The 20,613-nt window shown below is 39.6% G+C and overlaps 1 pseudogene; it reads right to left on the bottom strand.

The window, feature by feature from the left end:
* Positions 12,384 to 15,324, bottom strand: SDAD1P2 (SDA1 domain containing 1 pseudogene 2; annotated as a pseudogene).

The following is a 20,613-nucleotide window of genomic DNA, read 5'->3' as shown; positions in this document are numbered from 1 at the left end:
TTTTGTTTCTAGTATTGTGGTTTGATTTTGGGAAGTATTAATTGAGCCCTTTCTGTTTGCAGATAGGATAGTCAAGCGTATTTGGCGGTGAGAAGAGGAAAAAACAACACAGAAATTTGTTCACAGTCTCTGGCCTCAACAAGTTGATCATCTAGCCAGGGAGAATTTTTTTTTTTTTTTTTTTTTTTTTTTTTTGAGATGGTGTTTCGCTCTTGTTGCACAGGCTGGAGTGCAATGGCGCGATCTCAGCTCACTGCAACCTCCGCCTCCTGGGTTCAAGGATTCTCCTGCCTCCGCCTCCCGAGTAGCTGGGATTACAGGCATGTGCCACCATGCCCGGCTAATTTTGTATTTTTAGTAGAGATGGAGTTTCTCCATGTTGGTCAGGCTGATCTCGAACTCCTGACCTCATGTGATCTGCCCGCCTTGGCTTCCCAAAGTGCTGGGATTATAGGTGTGAGCCACCGCGCCTGGCCGAGATTTTTTTTTTTAATTATTAATTTTATAAGTTAAACATGTTGTAATAGAAAACTGGGAAAATATGAATCAGACACACACACAGACACACACACACTAAAGTCAAGTATATTCCTGCTATCTTCAGAGATAATCAGTGTTTACATTTTCTATGTATCTTTTCAGTTTGTTTTCTGCATGGATTTTTCCAAAAAGATGATCATACAGTATGTTCTGTTTTATAATCTATTCCTTTTACTTAATATGTCATGAACATCATACACATATAGAATTCTACACATTCTGTTATTACATCATGTTTCTTTTAACTTTTATGGGTACCTAGTAGGTATATATATTTATTGGGTATATAAGATATTTTGATGCAGGCATACAATGTGTAATAATCACATCAGGGTAAATGGAATATATTATATCATTTTTAATGCCTGAAGAAATTTTAGTTATAAAGATTATGCCATAATTTAGTTAATAAATTGGTATTAGTAAACCTTTGGGTTGTTTTCAAAATTTTTGTGTTAATATATGCAACAATGCAGTGAACATACTGTATATATTGTTTTCCCATATCCCTGATTATTTCTTCAGGATAAATAAATATAATTCAGGTTTCTGGGTCCAAGTGTACTGGAAATGGAAAGACTACATGTTATCTACCCCCAGTGATTTTTTTAAATATTAGTTTTAAAAGGAGAGTCCATTTTCAGTTACTAAATTGGCAAAGATAGTAACTATTGTTGGCAAAAGTTTAGGAAAAGGAGCACTTTCACACTGTGGTTGCGGTATATTGATGTGACATCTGGAGGACGATTATATAATAGATTGCCTTCCATTTCTAGTACACTAGTCAAATGCTTCTGAAATGCCTTCCACATTTTCTATCAGTAAGTTTATCTTTCTCATATGCATTTTTATTTTTGTATTTATTTTCTCATATGCATCATTAAAGATATATACATATTCAGGTAATCTTTAGAGCAAATGCATAGCCTCTCTTCATGGGCTGAACGTTCAGCCGCACATCCCCAAGCTAGACATGACGTCTTCTTAATGATACAGTTTTGTACCCATCTGTTGACTTGTCACTCACAAGCAGCAGCAAAACACCTATGTGGTATGATGAATTCAAACAATAAACAAACTATTGCCCTTAAGTTTTTACTACCTTCAACTCTTATGGTGTCTATGAAATGGGGTGGTATATTAGTTTTTTAGGGCTGCCATAACAATTGCCACAAAAGTAGTGGCTTAAAATAACAGAAACGTATTCTCTCTGTTTTAGACACTAGAAGTTTGTCATCAAAGTGTTGTTGGCAGGGCTATGCTCCCTCCGGAGGCTCTAGGGTTAATCATTCCTTACCTTCTCCAGCCTGTAGTAGCTGTCACCACTACAATCTGCCCTTGTATTCACATGGCCTTCCACCGCCCTCTCTGTGTGTCAAATATCCCTCTCCTTTCTCTTGCAAGGACACCAGTGATTGGATTTAGGGCCCACCCTAAATCCAGGATGATGTCATCTCAAGATCCTTAATTGCACTTGCAAAGACCCTGTTTCCAAATAAGGTCACATTCACAGGTAGCAGGACTTAGGTCTTTGGACATATCTTTTGGGGGGACATCATTCAACTCACCACAGATGGTAAAAAACTGCCAAGATGTAAATCCTTCTCCAGGGCTACAGATGCACAGAAAGCAAAATACAGTCATCCCTGGGAATTCTTGGGGCATTAGTTCCTGGACCTCCTTGGATATCAGATTCCTTAGGCAAAATGGCACAGTATTTGCATGTAACCTACACACATCCTCCTGTATACTTTAAATTATCTCTAGATTACTTATAATACCTAAAACAATGTAAATGCTATGTAAATAATTGTTACGCTGTATTTTTTATTTTTGTTATTTCAAATATTTCCCATCCACAGTTGGTTGAATCCACAGATGTGGAACCTGCCATATGGAAGGCCAACTGTGTGCCCAATGTGGACAGAAGGTACCAATGCCAGGTTTTACCACCAAGCTTATCAAATCATTTCTTAGTTTATTGTCGTTCTTTGATTATAATCGTCTTTTTTGGTAGGGTGCAGTCTCTTTTCTCTCTTTTTTTCCTTAAATTGTCCTAGACCTGACATTCTTCCCTACTCCCCTTTTCTACCTGCATCATCTTCATTCATTACATAGGTATATGTAATACCTAGTGCATTCTCCTGCACTAGGTATTACATATAAACTAGCTACTGGGGCTGGGCACAGTGGCTCATGCCCATAATCCCAGCAGTTTGGGAGGCTGAAGCAGGTGGATCACTTGAGGTCAGGAGTTCAAGACCAGTCTGGCCAACATAGCAAAAACCTGTTTCTATGAAGAATACAGAAATTAGATGGGCATGGTGGTGTGCACCTGTAATCCCAGCTACTCAGGAGACTGAGACATGAGGATAGCCTGAACCCGACAGGTGGAGGTTGCAGTGAGCCAATATTGTGCCACTACACTCCAGCCTGGGCAACGAGTGAGACTCTGTCTAAAAAACAAACAAAAACAGAAAAAATGACCTACTGGGCATTGAACCATATTTTCTCTATACTCAGATAATTTATATAAAGACATATGAAGAAAAATTTTGTACATGCTTTTGTAAAAGAAAAAAAAAGATCATTTTATATAACTTTGACCTGCTTTTATATAACTTTGATCTGCTTTTACATAACTTTGATCTGCTTTTTTCAGAAAAGTCTCTAAGTCATCTGAAAAAGCTAATTCCTTTCTTTAATGGTCACATACTATGCCTGTAGAGATTGTAGTGGAAGATGTTGGTGTCCCACCCAGGTCCCATTTGAACTGGCCTAGTGTACCCATCCCCAAATCCTGCGAGCATTAGCTGCTAATGGCTTACAGCTACCTCTTCTCAGGAGAGCTACTCTAAACCCAGAGGCCACCTTGCCAGAGAGGTTATGACAAGAAGATTTTTATATCTGCCTTCCTCCTGTATGTCTGTACCCATAGACAATGACTTTGTACATATATTCTTTTTAAGAAGGCCAATAACTTTGTACACATATTGTTACCTACTTATGTTTTCATTTATAAGTGTTAGATTCTAATGAATGAAACCTCCAGGTCAGAAAAAGATTTGCACTCTTTACTAAGTATTGCCTCATTATTTTGCAAAAGACTGTAACAATTCATAATTCTACCAGCCATTCATGAGTACCATTTCCCATAACCTCATTACCTATTGCCACTGCCAGTTAGTAATAGGTACTATGTTCTTTTTTATTTTACCAATTATTAGTTCCTTGTTATTTTGTTTTGAAGTTTCTGATTACTAATGAATTTGAGTATTTAAAAAATATATTGCTAGCCATTTGGATTTGTTCTTCTTTGAATTATCTATATTTATTGCCCATTTTCTTATTTTTCTTATTTGTAAGAGTGCTTTGTGCATTATAAATGCTATTAAAGATATTAACCTTTCATCTATCCTCTTTGGTACAAATATTTTTTGCAAATTGTTTTCTATTTCTTTCAATCATAGGATGCTTTACCAATTAAAACGCTTTAATTTTTCTCTAATCAAATATGTCTATGTTTTCTAGTCTGGGTTTCTTATCTTGATTAAAAACCCTTAGGTCTTCTAAATATTCTCCTAAGCATTTTGCCTTGTACATTTAAGTTTTAATCTATCTGTAATTATATATATATATGATATGAGGTATAGGTTCAGTTTAATTTTCTTCTAGATGGAGAACCAGTTGTGTCAACATCAATTATTTTTAAAATATCTTTTCCCAGCAAGTTGAAATACCACCCTTGTCATATATTACATTCTCATTTATGGGAAATTTATTTCTAAACTGTCTTTTCGACTAATTTTTTTTGCCTTTTCTTAAAGCAATACCACACTTATTGATTATAATCATGTCTTAAAATTTTTAGTATCTGCTAAAGGAATTCCCTATTTCACTATTTTTCTCTTTAATATACCCCTTGGCTATTTTTTAGTTTTATTCTTTCATATAAATTTATAGATCATTTCATGTAATTATAAAATGAATTACATTGGAATTCAATTCAGGTTTATATATTAATTTGCAGAAACATTAACATTCTTGGGTTATCAAGTGTTTCCACTCAAGAACGTGGTAATCATTTCATTAATTCAAATCATATTTCATTATCTTTATTAAGATTTTAAAGTTTTCAGTATAGGTTTTAAACCTTTTATGTTAATTTTTAAGCATCTCATTGTTATGTTGCTATTTTAAATAGAATAATTTTCAATTACTAAATGCCCAATACTATATTTCTATATTTTTCGAAGACCATGAATACTGCTCACTGCTAATGGAGATAATAAAGCACAGATACTTTTAAGATCCATGAGGTTGTTTTCTTTTTCACATTTAACTTTTCTAAAATTGGAGTGTGTCTTAAAATCAAAGTATACATTATTTGATTTTTCTTTTTCCCTATAAAAAAACATATTTAAAGTTGATGATGTTTTACAGACATCAGACAGGTTTTACAGACTTTTACAGATTTGAGAAAATAAGTGAGCCTATGCAGTTTACAGAGCTGAAAGGAAGTGTGGCATAGCATTTTGAAGACAGAAAGACCCAGGTTTAAATACTTAAGTAAACTCTAACTTTTGTGAGCTTCTTAACCTTATGTGGTTGTTCTTAAGAACCAATGAAATGGCTCTCGGCTCTCCCCTCTCCCCTCTCCCATCTCCCCTCTCCCCAGGGTCTCCCTCTCCCTCTCTTTCCACGGTCTCCCTCTGATGCCGAGCCGAACCTGGACTGTACTGCCGCCATCTCTGCTCACTGCAACCTCCCTGCCTGATTCTCCTGCCTCAACCTGCCGAGTGCCTGCGATTGCAGGCGCACGCCGCCACGCCTGACTGGTTTTCGTATTTTTTTGGTGGGGACGGGGTTTCGCTGTGTTGGCCAGGCTGGTCTCCAGCTCCTAACCGCGAGTGATCCGCCAGCCTCGGCCTCCCGAGGTGCCGGGATTGCAGACGGAGTCTGGTTCACTCAGTGCCCAATGGTGCCCAGGCTGGAGTGCAGTGGCGTGATCTCGGCTCGCTACAACCTCCACCTCCCAGCCGCCTGCCTAGGCCTCCCAAAGTGCCGAGATTGCAGCCTCTGCCCGGCCGCCACCCCGTCTGGGAAGTGAGGAGCGTCTCTGCCTGGCCGCCCATCGTCTGGGATGTGAGGAGCCCCTCTGCCAGGCTGCCCAGTCTGGGAAGTGAGGAGCGCCTCTTCCGGGCCGCCATCCCATCTAGGAAGTGAGGAGCGTCTCTGCCCGGCCGCCCATCGTCTGAGATGTGGGGAGCGCCTCTGCCCCGCCACCCCGTCTGGGATGTGAGGAGCGCCTCTGCCCAGCCGCGACCCCGTCTGGGAACTGAGGAGTGTCTCTGCCCGACCGCCACCCCGTCTGGGAGGTGAGGAGCGTCTCTGCCCGGCCGCCCCGTCTGAGAAGTGAGGAGCCCCTCCGCCAGGCAGCCACCCCGTCTGGGAAGTGAGGAGCGTCTCCGCCCGGCAGCCACCCCGTCCGGCAGCCACCCCGTCCGGTAGGGAGGTGGGGGGCAGCCCCCGCCTGGCCAGCCGCCCCGTCCGGGAGGGAGGTGGGGATCAGCCCCCGCCCGGCCAGGCGCCCCGTCCGGGAGGGAGGTGGGGGGCGCCTCTGCCCGGCCACCACCCCATCTGGGAGGTGTACCCAACAGCTCATTGAGAACGGGCCATGATGACGATGGTGGTTTTGTGGAATAGAAAAGGGGGAAAGGTGGGGAAAAGATAGAGAACTCAGATTGTTGCTGTGTCTGTGTAGAAAGAAGTAGACATGGGAGACTTCATTTTGTTCTGTACTAAGAAAAATTCTTCTGCCTTGGGATGCTGTTGATCTATCACCTTACCCCCAACCCTGTGCTCTCTGAAACACGTGCTGTGTCCACTCAGGGTTAAATGGATTAAGGGAGGTGCAAGATGTGCTTTGTTAAACAGATGCTTGGAGGCAGCATGCTCGTTAAGAGTCATCACCACTCCCTAATCTCAAGTACCCAGGGACATAAACACTGCGGAAGGCCGCAGGGTCCTCTGCCTAGGAAAACCAGAGACCTTTGTTCACTTGTTTATCTGCTGACCTTCCCTCCACTATTGTCCTATGACCCTGCCAAATCCCCCTCTGCGAGAAACACCCAAGAATGATCAATAAAAATAAAAATTAAAATTAAAAAAAAATAGTTTAAAAAGTAAAATAATAATAATAATAATAATAATAATAATAATAATAATAGAAAAAACCTTATAGACTACTGTTTAAAATAAAATTTGCTATTTTGGCCAAAAAAAAAAAAAAAAAAAGAACCAATGGAATGAATTAAAAGCTCTTACTACAGAGCCAGGCACATAATGCACACTCAATAAATGGGAGGTAGGCAAAATATTCAAGTAAATTCCAACACTCTGACAATCACACATTATTTTAGCAATTTCAAAAACAAAAACAGTAAGAATGTCTTAAAAATTTAACTGAGATAAGGCAAAACTACAAATTTATAAGTTGAGTGGAGTTGTTACAAGGATATTTAATCATTTGCTTAATTTTGAAGTCCTCTTACAGGCTTAGTAACTTAACTGGGCATACTCTTATAATTCTCTTAGGTGGTGTTAGGGACTACACACAAGGGGCATATTTATTAAATCTCCCAACAGTCTTGGTCCACTAGAAAAATAGATAGATGTGCTAAGTTTTACTTTTTATCAGCACATTGGATATATCTATGAGTATCAAGTAGATTATTTTATTACAAAGGAATTTAATATTCCCTGGATTTAAGAAAGATGGATTGAGTTTTTATCAACAGCTTATTAATTAAAATTTGTTCCCAATGACTGGCTCTTAAAATATTATCAAAACTATTATTTTGCAAACCTTTACTTCTTTACTTTTATTTATATTTTTTGGCCGTAAGAAATGAATACATATGAAATAAGTTTCAATCTATTTTAAAATTATATAATAGCTTAGATATTCTTAGGTTACTTATCAAAATTAAAGAACTTTTAAAAACTAAAACAGAAATTCCTATCAATTTCTCAAGAGAAATTATCAGCCATTCTTATTTATTTTACTTAAGCATTTACTATGTATGAACATTTTATTAAATTAGATTTTTACTTAATGATAAAGTATAATGAAAAATTTTGTCTTAATATTTATAGCATATGAAACCAAGGGTTTAAAACACAAATGAATTCAAGTTCTTGTTTAAATACCTTTTTTACTCTTTATTGAGCATCGTAAGAAATAGCTTTGTCATTTTCTACTATAAATTAATTCCTGATAATCCTCAGAGATGAATCTGTCTTCTCATATTTGAATGCTTTCTGGTTTTATTTTCATTGTAATGAATGCTCTGATGTAAACACTAGGATTGTGCTTTGGAAATAGTTTTAAAATATGAAATTAAATATGGTACATTTGCAGGTTTTTTGGTCCTATGATTCTTACTTTCTTAGAACCAGATTATGTTTCTCCTCATTCACAGAGGTTGCAGTGAGCCAGGATTGCACCACTGTACTCTAGCCTGGCCTACAGAGTGTGACCCTGTCTCAAAAAAAAAAAAAAAAATTTCTCCTTATTCATTCGATGAAGACCTTTATTGGTTACCATGTCAAGTCATTGTGCATATATTTTTCCTGTTCAGTTTCAATTCTTCCATTCATTTGTTGAGCTCCTAGTGTCATAGCTAGGGATACCATAGTAAGTATGAAAAGACATAGTTCCTGGCCGGGCGCAGTGGCTCACGCCTGTAATCCCAGCACTTTGGGAGGCTGAGGTGGGCAGATCACAAGGTCAGGAGATCAAGACCATCCTGGCTAACATGGTGAAACCCCGTCTCTACTAAAAATACAAAAAAATTAGCTGGGCTTGGTGGCGGGCGCCTGTAGTCCCAGCTACTCAGGAGGCTGAGGCAGAAGAATGGCGTGAACCTGGGAGGCAGAGGTTGCAGTGAGCCGAGATCGTGCCACTGCACTCCAGCCTGGGCGACAGAGCGACACTCCATCTCAAAAAAAAAAAAAAAAAAAAAAAAGAAAAGACATAGTTCCTGTTCTGATTGAGCTTAATGTCTAAAATTCACCCACATAAAGGCTAAAATTCACCCACATAAAGGTACACTTACAACTAAACTATTAAGAGATAATCAATCTGTTATTTTGCTTTGTTTCTTTTTTTTCTCTTTTTTTTTTTTTTAAGACAGTCTTACTCTGCTACCCAGGCTAGAATGCAGTAGTGCAATCTTAGCTCCTGGGTTCAAGTGATTCTCATGCCTTGGCCTCTCGAGTGGCTGGGATTACAAGTGTGTGCCACCACACCTGGTTAATTTTTTTATTTTTAGTAGAGGCTGGGTCTTGCCATATTGCCCAGGCTGGTCTCGAACTCCCAGCCACAAGTGATCTGCCCACTTTGACCTATCAAAGAGCTGGGATTACAGGCATGTGCCACCATGCCTGGCCTGATAATCTGTTTTTTAAGAAGACGTAATAGGAATAAGAGAGATCTTTTAGATATCAAGCGTCGTTAGAATTAATTAGAATCAGAGAAAAATGAGATTATTCCAGACAGAAAGAACAGCATATACAAAGGCACTGTTGTAGGAAGAAACATATGTGAAGAATTGGAAGAAGGTCACTGTGGCCAAAGCTTAGAGTAGAGAGCGAGAGCAAATACTGTGGAAGATGTCTCTGAAGATACAGGTTGCAGCCAGGCCAGGCCAAACTTGTGATGATGAAGGGTTTGGAATTAATCTAAAATCAATGGAAATTCTTTAAAAAATTTTTTTTTGTAGAGATGGTGTCTCACTATGTTGTCCAGGCTGGTCTTGAACTCCTGAGCTCAAGTGATCCTCCTGCCTCAGCTTCCCGAGGAAGATTACAGGTGTGAGCCACCACACCTAGCCTGCAGTTCTGACATTGTTTTAAGTTGAGGCAGGAGGGCAGTAGGGGGGAAATAGTGAGTTTGAGGAGGAGAGATTGGTTAGGAAGTTATTCATTAGAATAGTGAAGGAATTATGGCACATGGTGGTGTCAGTATACATGAGAGACACAGATAGATTCAAGAAACATTTAGCAGATGCATCCAGGAGTAGTTGTGATGACTTCAATAATCACAAATGGACAATTGGCAAGGCACAGTAGCTCATGTCTATAATCCGAGCACTTTGGGAAGCTGAGACGGGCAGATGGCTTGAGTGCAGGAGTTCAAGACCAGCCTGGGCAACATGGCGAGACCCCGTCTCTACTAAAAATACAAAAAATAGCTGGGTGTGGTGGTGTGAGCCTGTGGTCCCAGCTACTTGGGAGGCTGGAGGACCACCTGACTGGAAGCTGGAAGTTGCAGTAACCCAAGATGGCACTACTGCACTGCAGCCTGGGACAGAGCAAGACCCTGTCCCAAAACAAAAACAACAAACAAACAAACAAAACGAATGGCCAATTAGATGATTAGAGTTAACTCTCTGTTTTTAACCTTAACTCAATTTGATGACTGGAAGAGCACAGGGTTTGCAAGAGGGATAGTAGTTTTGTTTTGAACACAATGAGTCTGAATTGGTTTCTTACTAATCAAGTGAAGAGATTACTAAGACAGATCTACTGATCTGGAGTTCAGAAGATAAATCTGGCCTAGAAATATAAATATGAGTCAGTTTCATCTAGGTTGCTTAGTTTGGATGTTTGACCCTCCAAATCTTGTGCTGAAATTTGACCCCCAATATTGGAGGTGGAGCTAGTGGGAGGTCTTGGGTCACATGCGGGTGCATCCCTCATGAATGGTTTGGTGCTGTCTTCTAAGTAATGAGTGAGTTCTTGCTCTATTAGTTCCTGCAAGAGCGAGTTGTTAAAAAGAGCCTGACACCCCCTGTTTGCCTCTACTCTCACCACGTGATTCCTGAACAGGCCAGCTTCCCTTTGCCTTCTGCCATGAGTAGAAGCAGCCTGAGTCTCTCACCAGGAGCAGATGCTGGCGCCATGCTCCTTGTACAGAACTGTGAACCAAATAAACCTTTTTTCTTTTCTTTCTTTATTTTTTTTTTTTTTGTTTTAGAAGGAGTCTCACTCTGTCACCAGGCTGGAGTGCAGTGACGCAATCTTGGCTCACTGCAACCTCCACCTCCCAGGTTCAAGCAATTATCCTGCCTCGGTCTCCCGAGTAGCTGGGACTACAGGCGTGGGCAACCACGGCCATCTAATTTTTGTATCTTTTTTAGTAGAGATGGGGTTTCACCATGTTGGCCAGGATGGTCTCGATCTCTGGACCTTGTGATCCGCCCACCTTGGCCTCCCAAAGTGCTGGGATTACAGGCGTGAGCCACCGCACCCAGCCTAAACCCTTTTTCTTTTTTCTTTTTTCTTTTTTTTTTTTTCTTGAGATGGAGTTTTGCTCTTGTTGCCCAGGCTGGAGTGCAATGGTGTGATCTCAGCTCACTGCAACTTTCGCCTCCCAGGTTCAAGCGATTCTCCTGCCTCAGCCTCCTGAGTAGCTGGGGTTACAGGCATGTGCCACCAAGCCCAGCTAGTTTTGCATTTACTATAGTAGAGACGGGGTTTCACCATGTTGGTCAGGCTGGTCTCGACCTCCTGACCTCAGATGATCTGCCCACCTTAGCCTCCAAAAGTGCTGGGATTACACGCATGAGCCACTGCGCCTGGTCTTCTTTTTTCTTTATAAATTATCCATCCTCAGGTGTTCCTTTATAGCAACACAAATGGACTAACATGATGGTATTGAAGCTGTTCATTCACTAATTCATTCAATCAGCATGTTTATCACACTCCCACTATGTGCTGGGCACTGTTCTTGGTTCCGGGGATTCAGATAAATTTTAGAGTCAGCTTGACAAGTTCCATGAAAATCCTTTAAGATTTTAATTGGAATTGCATTATTTGTAAATTGATACCTGTATAACATTTAGGCTTTTCATCCTGAAAAAGGGTGTCTGTCTTCTTTACTTGAATTTTATTTAGTTATTTAATATTTTTGTAGTTTTTTGTTTATTTCATTATATATTTTGAATGTTTCCTTTGTTGAGTTTATTCCCGGATATTTTATAAGTTTTTTATTATTGTAAATGGAATCTGGTTTTTAGAGATGGGGGTCTTGCCCCATCACCTTGGGTGCAGTGCAGTGATGCAATTGTGGTTCACTGTGGCCTTAAACTCTTGGGTTCAAGCAATCCTCCCACCTTGGCCTCACAAAGTGCAGGGATTACAGGCATGAGCTGCCACACCCACCCAGTCTCTTCCTCTCTTTTTGGACCTCATTGCATTGGCTAGGACTACCAGTACAATCTGAATAGCAAGAGGGCTAGTTAGAGCTTCTTTTATTTTCTTTTGTGATTTTCCAAGTGATGCAGGATTTTTGCTCCTTAACTCAGCTAAGTCCGGGTTACTGTCTCATGGTCAGGAAGAATTAGGCATGTGGACACCAGAGAGTGAGTGGAGTAGAATTTATTAAGGAAAAGGAAAGCTCACAGCAAAGAGAAGGGTCCTGAAAGCAAGTTGCCAGTTGCCCCCTTCACAGTTGAATACAAGGGTGTAAGGCACGAATTTCTGGTGGCTCCACCCCATCCTTCCAGTGTGCCTGTGGGCCCTTGGTCTGAGCCACTCCATATTAATTTATATCCCTTGCTGTGCATATGTTACGGAATGGAATTTTCCACGTGGACATGTTTAGGCAATCCCCCTTTGCAAGTTCCCTTATCTGCACAAAGCATCTCATGCTGTGGAGCCAGTGGCAGATTCTCCGGGGACCCTTCCCTTACTGTCTGCCTAAAGCAAACTGGCTAAATTCTTTCACAAGTTTTTCTTTTTCTTTTTTTTCTTTTTCTTTCTTTTTTTTTTTCCAATTTGCATTAGAAAGCTTTTATTGAGACAAGGTAAACAGTGGGCTGAAAATATTACAGGCTGAAGGAAGGCTGAGGAAACCAGTATGAAGGCTGCTCAAATGATGAACTAAATACATTCCAAAGGTACTATTTATACTTAAGGCAGTTTTAAAAGTGAGGTCTTAACCAAAAATCCTTTACATGGCATTCAAAAAAAGAAAAAAGAGGGGGTCACTTAAATCTTTTGTATTGACTAAAAGAGTTAAATTATGTACCCAAAATCTGTACAACAAGGGCCTGTTTTCAGCAGGTAAGCCTATGTACAAGTAAGAACCTCTTACTCTTATAACATTGTCCTGTTTTCTTTTGTTTTATAAGAATATATAACTCCTATCCCCACAGAGTTAGTCCAAAAGGCCTGAGTGACCTCATAGAAATATGGAGCTACCTCTACTAGAGAACTATTTACACTGCGCTGTAAATACACATATGTGTGTCCACCCCCACAGCTAAGCTGTCAATGCCTTGAGTGAAGGGGTTACAGCTCATTGGTTTTATATCTACAGTGACAATTAACAGGCACTCAATACTTTTTTTTGCATGAATGATAAATGAATTGATTTTACACTACCACCACTATTTACATTAACATTCCCACCATTAGCCGTCTCCAAAATAAAAACACCAAATTGCTGCCACATTTTCAGCAGTTTTCACAATACAGTGCTTCTGGACTTTTTAATGTAAACAAACATGCTTGATTTACCAATTTTCAGAGTAATGACACAAACTTAGCATTCTTCTTGGAATGGAAAACTTGCTGGGAAGTTACTTCATTCTTTTTCTCTTTTTCAAAAGTGCATCTCGTAGCACCAACTGTTTTTCTCGGAAGGAATGCTTATTTTTTCACCGGACATTCTGGCTATACTGCATCATCATAAAGTTCTTCTGTTTTTTCTCCTCTTTATTTGTCAAACTGGGAAATGGATTCATTTTGGTTTTCTTCCTCACAAATTCTTTTCGGTCTGTCTTTCTAGCCATTGCAGTTGCTAGTCTTGTCTCTTTGTCAGACTTCGGCTTTTAATGAAGGCGTTCAATGTCCTGAAGAGAAAGTAATTCACCCCTGGGCTCTTCATCACTGTCTATTTCAATTTATTTCCTCTTCTGGGATTTCCCAGGGGCAGCATCAAGTTCTTTTCTCAGTTGGGCCATGCGGATTTTCTGGAAGTCTTCCTGAGTTAAAACTTGGCTGGTGCTGATGGCTGCAGCTTTGGCTTTCCACTCCTCCATGGGCATCCTGTTCAGCTTCTTGGAGATTTCTTGCTGTTCTTCATCGGAAGAGTGTTGCACATCAATCTATTCACCATCAGCATCCTGCTCCTCACTGAGACTGGTATTTTCCCATCCATCTTCATCATTTTCAGCATTCTCTTCTTTCTCACCTTCCAGAACTTCTGCTCCTGGAATGTAATCTTTAGCATCTAATTCTCCATATTCTTGTACTCTTGCTTCTATGGAGGCCTCAGTAGGCTTACCCTGGAATTTCTTCTGCAGCATCTGAGGATTCAGTGTTCGGAAGAGCTGAATCAAAGTTCTAGCACACATCATTACATTCTTATCCTTGTGTGTTTTATACTGAGCCAGGTCTTGGAGAAGTTCTTCAGTCATGGCCAGAGAACATCGAGCTGTTTTCTCTTTTATAGCATTGATTCCTACTGTCATGACTTCTCCAGAATTCTTGTCGGTAACCAAATTGTTTGCCACAGTCATAAGCAATGATTGAATAATCTCTGGGGGTACTAGGTGATGAGATGCTTGTGCAGCAAACGGAGGATCTTTGTTACTTCTCTTTGGTGGGGCTGCAGAAACCTTTGCAAACAAGGATGGAAATTGAAGAGGAAGAGCTCATGAATTCCCACCAATCTGGAGATGAGGTTCATGAGCATCATTTTCACTTCAAACTTCTCCTTAGTTCACTCAAGCTGCTTTAGTAGTTTTTCTGCAAAATCTTGGGGATCATGAATTAAGTGAATGGCTGAAAAGTTAAACATCTCTGATTTTTTCTTGTTTTTTTTTTTTTTGTTTCTCAGATTCGGAGTTACAGTCCTGTTTTTCGTCTTCATCTTTCCCAAGACAGAATGTCAAAGTGGCAACTAATATCTTGGTGACCTTAGAGAAATGTGCAGTTGTGATAACATTGACAGTTTTGGCATCATTCCAGATGTTCCCTCTGTAGAGTTCAATCATTACATCTAAAGACATCTTGGCTGCGGTTGCATTGCTATGTCTTAACATGATGTACTTGAAATTTTGCAATACTGCATTCACTTTCCTGTTCTTGTGTTTTGCATTTATATTCTTGATATCAGTCACAATATGTGTGTATAAAGTCTTTCACAGAAGCTTATCATGGCAACGTAGAAGTTCAAAGAAGAGTTCTAGCAGGCTTGATGGAATGATGAGATTCTTATTTCTCAGCAAGATCAAAGCTTTGCAAAATGTCATTTGAAGATCTGGATCTTATACGGTATAATTGCAGGAGAGAAGCTCTTTCACCTCTTGAGGAAAATTACTTAAATACTCTGGGTAGCAGTGACTAATCTGTAGCAAAGCAAAGGCTCTTCTGAAGTTTCTCTCTTTCTCTCCTATAATTAAGATGCAGACATTTAGGCTGTTCTGTGCCATAAACATCACCAGCTCTGCTAGTTCTTTGCTGGGTTTATTTGGTTGCAATTTGGAAATCTCCACATTGGATCTGTAGTGATTTTACTGCTGTAGAAACTCCTCAATGCAGGCCGGTGGGTCTAGCTTGATCCGATTCTGTGACTGCGGCAGGTTACTGGGCAGCTTGTTGTTTCTGCTGGACATTTTGGCTGCAGACTGGCTTCGCGGCCAGCAGTTTTAATAAAACTCAGATGGCCGGTAGCCCCCAAACCCTGCCAGCTGCAGCTACAAGTTTTTCAAACTTACACCCTTCCCTGCTAAAGAACATATTTTTTGGGGATATAATTAGTAATGTCCTCAAATGCTTAAATTTACAAGAAAATAAATAATATATAGTAATTTGATTTATGGGCTTTATTTTATTTTTACAAAATGTGAAAACATTTAATTTTACTGTTCAGGCTCGGTGCAGTGGTTCACACTTGTAATCCCTGCACTTTGAGAGGCCAAAGCAGGTGGATCACTTGAGGCCAGGAATCCGAGACTAGCCTGGCCAACATGGTGTAACCTGGTCTCTACTAAAAATACAAATATTAGCTGAGTGTGGGGGTGGGCACTGGTAATCCCAGCTACTTGAGAGACTGAGGCAGGAGAATTGCTTGAACCCAGGAGGCAGAGTTTGCAGTGAGCCAAGATCACTGCACTCCAGCCTGAGCAACAGAGCAAGACTACATCTCCAAAAAAAAAATAAATAAAAATTGTACTGTTCAAATGAATTCTCTGAAAAAACTATTGACATAAGATGGACTTGCCAATTCTAAACAAGAAGGGTCCATCTGGTTTTCTGTTTGAGATTTACGTCCTAAAGTATATCAAATGAGTTTAGAAAATATCAGGAATAACCAAGCCTAATTTGAGTGTATGTCTGAAAGACTACAAAAATACTAGTCTCACAGTTAATGATGACCCTGTAGTATGTGCTACGAATAGCATTTTAGTTCCTGTTAATAACAGCTTGCCATCTAAACAGAATAATGTAAGGTTTGATGAGTATTACTTTAAAAATCAATATTGCTTTTATTTTCAGTGAAGTAGAAACCAGTGCCTTTATCTTGGTTTTATATTTCAATTGCTACAAAAATAAATATGCTCAAAGGTGCATCAGACAGCCATTGTGCAGCTCGGAATTCAAGGTATAGCCAACTAGACTTTTCTGTGAAGAGTGTATTATTACTCGTCTTCAAAAATTTGGTTGACCAGAATTATCTGACTTGCCCACAAAATTGCATAATTTTAATGGAATTTAATGTCAAAATGAATAAAACAATGATGACTTTGGCATACCCACTCTGTAGATAAAAACAAATTATTTAGTTCTAGAAAAATATACTTCATAAAACAGAAAACATTTGATTAAATGGTCAACTATTCATATTTTCAGTCAAAATATATATTGACTTTCAAATTATGAATGATTGAGACTATCGTCTGGCTTCAACTAAACTACGCAGCAAGTAACTTTCATCTTGTTCGGTTATACCAGCCCATTACCAAGAATTTTAGAAATCCTGTGTAACACTGGACAACCCCATATCACTTCACACATTTTAAACATACATAGATGATTGAAAAATTTAGATGTATATTTCAAATTTAATCATTGTTCAGAGTTTTATTCCTAACTACAAAGACAAAAATTATCTAAAAAATATTATGATTTTCTCTGGGTGATCAAATTATGAGTGACTTTATCTTTCAACTTTTCTGTATTTTTAAAATTATTTGCAGTGAGCATATATTACTTAATTAATGAAAAAAAACTAGTATTTTTAGAAATGGATTCAAGCCGATTGGAAATGTTTATTAGAATAAATCTTCCCAAGGGCAGAAATTTTGCAGATGTTTCTGAGCTACAAATAAATCTTGTGTTCCTTATCAGATCTCTACCCTTCACCAGCCTCCCCTCTCTTTGGGGTGAAACTTGACCAGCAGGAAACAGGAGATGGGGAGGAACTAGCAGAATAATTCCCCTGGTGCAATCTTTATCATGAATTGCCAAAGTGGTTCTACCACTTTATGCCTTGATTAGCAGTGATATGGTTTGGCTGTGTCCCCACTCAAATCTCATCTTGAATTGTAGTTCCCAGAATTCCCATGTGTCATGGGAGGGACCCAGTGGGAGGTAATTGAATCATGGGGGCAGGTCTTTTCTGTGCTATTTTCATGGTAGTGAATAAGTCTCACGAGACGTGATAGTTTTATAAATGGGAGTTTCCTGCAAAAGCTCTCTTGACTGCCACCATGTAAGATGTCACTTTGCTTCTTCTTTGCCTTCAGTTATGATTGTGAGGCCTCCCCAACCATGTGGAACTGTGAGTCCATTAAACCTCTTTCCTTTATAAGTTATCCAGTCTCAAGTATGTCTTTATTAGCAGTGTGAGAACAGGCTAATACAAGCAGTAACTACCCATTCCTGTCTCCCACATCTTTGCCTGTGTTTGGTCTGGTTTGCAGCAATTGTCAGACTATGTTGCCTCATAGATAGGGACCTGAGTTTGTTCACTTCTCTCTCCACTCCATCCCAACTGTACATACTCCTTGCCCTTGTATTATAGAGATTAGGACCATTACATGAATACTGAAGCAAGGACTCGTTGTATTTATTTCATTCATTCAGAAACTATTTAGTACCTCCTGTGCATTGCACATGGGGGACAGATGATAAAAGAGCAAAAAAGGTAGCTTTCAAAAAACGATCAGCCTGGTGGGGGTCACGGGCAGACACTTTAACATCTGGCACAGTACCATGTGATAAGTGCTGTGGTGAAGCTGTGGGTTACATGCATGTTCAAGCTGCCAGGAGAAAGAATGTGAGGTTGTAACTGATTCTATCTGGGCAAAAAAGGGTCAGTCAAAGCAAGGTCGCCCAGGAAATAGTATTTGGGCTGAGTCTTAGAGGTGAACAGTAATTGCCTTGCCCAGTTTAGAAAAAATATACACCAAACTTTTTTTTTTTTTTTTTTCCTGAAACAGAGTCTCACTTTGTCACCCAGGCTGGAGTGCAATGGCACGATCTCAGCTCACTGCAACCTCCACCTCCTGGGTTCAAGCAATTCTCCAGTCTCAGCCTCCCGAGTAGCTGGGATTACAGGCATACACCACCACACCCAGTTAATTTTTGTAATCTCAGTAGAGACGGGGTTTCACCATGTTGGCCAGGCTGGTATTGAAGTCTTGACCTCAAGTGATCTGCCTGCTTCGGCCTCCCAAAGTGCTGGGATTAGAGGCGTAAGCCATGGCCCCTGGCCCAATATATACCAAACTTCTACAAGGACTAACAATGCTAACTTAAGGCCTAAAGCTATAACTCTGAGTAATTCACCCTTTTGGGTCAGCTGCCTTTCCTGTTGAACTCACCTTTAAAAGATGATTTTGTTTCAAACTAGTGGTGCTAAAATGTCTAAAAACACTTCCAGCTCAAAGAATTCATATAAAATAATCACTGAACAATTTTACTTATTTGAATATTGTTTTACTTCTGCAGCTTCCAAGAATAAGAAATACTTTAAAAGATGATCGAAAATTTAAGAAATAAAAAAACCCCAAATCTTTATTATAATTTTACATGGTGGAAACAAGAGCCTAGAGTGAGAAGACTTGGCTCTGCTGCTTATCAGCTACTGGATGCTGTCACTCATGTCATTTAACTTTTCTGCCTCCCTCATAAGGGAAACATTACTGAAAAAAACAGCAGTCAGATCTGAATGGTGGCATCCCCTTACTCTCTAATACTGGAGTATTTTCTAAATGCTTAGGCTCCCAGAACAATGTTATCATTAAGAGCATGGATTTAACAGGCGGGGCTTAGTGGCTCAGGCCTGTAATCCAAACACTTCGGGAGGCCAAGGCGGGCAGGTCCCTTGCGTTCAGGAGTTCAGAACTGGCCTGTGTAACACAGTGAGACTCCATCTCCACAAAAAATACAAAAGTTAGCCAGGTGTGGTGGTGCACGACTGTAGTCCCAGCTACTTGGGAGGCTGAGGCAGGAAGATCACTTGAGCCCAGGAGGTTTTGGCTATAGTGAGCCATGATTGCGCCACTGCACTCCAGCCTGGGCAGCAGATGGAGAACCTGTCTCAAAAAAAAAAAAAAAAAAAAAAGCATGGATTTGATGTTAAATAAACTTCATTTCAGCCCCAATTCTCTCAATTCCTAATGATTGACACTGGACAAATTACCTAACTTCTATGTGCCTCCGTTTTATCATCTGTAAAATGGGAATAGCTACCACATGAGGGTGCTGTGGGAATTGAGTGAAATAATTAGTGTAATGTGCTGAGCACAGTGTCGAACATAGTAAGCCCTCAATAAATATTTGCTGATAGAACAATTTATTAATGGGATAGTGATATAATTCCATTTCAGAGTGGACTTCTGGTGGGACATAGAGTTTGATGGAAATACTAGTTTTTCAATTCTGTGAAGAAACTGTATTTGCACAATAGTAAATGTGAATCCTAATAGAATTATAGTACTAAAGTCAACTTGTTACTTTTTTTTTTGAGAAGGAATCTTGCTCTGTCTCCCAGGCTTGGCTCAGAGATCTCGGCTAAAGGCAACCTCCACCTCCCGGGTTCAAGCGATTCTCCTGCCTCAGCCTCTCGAGTAGCTGGGATTACAGGTGCCTGCCACCACACCTGGCTAATTCTTGTATTTCTAGTAGACACAGGGTTTTGCCATGTTGGCCAGGCTGGTCTCGAACTCCTGACCTCAGGTGATCCGCTCCACCTTCCAAAGTGCTGAGATTACAGGATTGAGTCACTGCGCCCAGCTCATTTTAATTTTTCTGCCTGTTTCTTTTTGTTGGGAGAAAAGATAGACAGGGTGGGAAGTCTACTGATTAAAAGAGACTCAAGAGATACAGTAATCAAATGCAACATATAGTCTCTGGATCCTGAATAAAAAATTAAACAACAAAAAAACATGAGACAATGAGGAAAATGATAGTAGATTCACTATTTGATAATATTAAATTATTTTCATCAATTAATATTAGTAATGGTATTGTGGTCTTTAAAAGGTGTGTGTGTGTGTGTGTGTGTGTGTGTGTGTGTACTGAAGTTTTTGCAAATGAAATATGTTTGGGATTTGCTTTAAATCATCTAGTGAGGGGAATGAGGATTTATGTGGGTTGTGGAAAAAACAAGATCAGCTATAAATGTTGATACTGCATGAGTGGTACCTGAGGGCTCATTATACTCTATCCTCTATTCCTGTATATATTTGAAAAGTGTAAAATATTTTGCTTTCACAAGACAACAGTAGTAATTTATCCAAGTCCTATGATTTAGTACTAGAAAAGCTCTTTTTCTTTTAAATTGTTGAGTGGCCATGTTAATCATCTCACATTTCTGATAATATCTTTGACATAAAAATATTTATAGAGCATGCCTTTGAATTTCTATCTCTAAGTGCTTTTATAATTTATGAAACTCAAAAGAACATTTCTGGGCACCTTGGCTCAATGCAGGTGAAAAAACATTGAAAAATGGAGTCATGATTAAGAAATTTTTGAAAGGTCTTAAAA

The sequence above is a fragment of the Homo sapiens genome, chromosome 20, assembly GCF_000001405.40.
Source record: "Homo sapiens chromosome 20, GRCh38.p14 Primary Assembly".
Lineage (NCBI taxonomy): Eukaryota > Metazoa > Chordata > Mammalia > Primates > Hominidae > Homo > Homo sapiens.
This window is presented reverse-complemented; position numbering and strand designations above follow the sequence as displayed.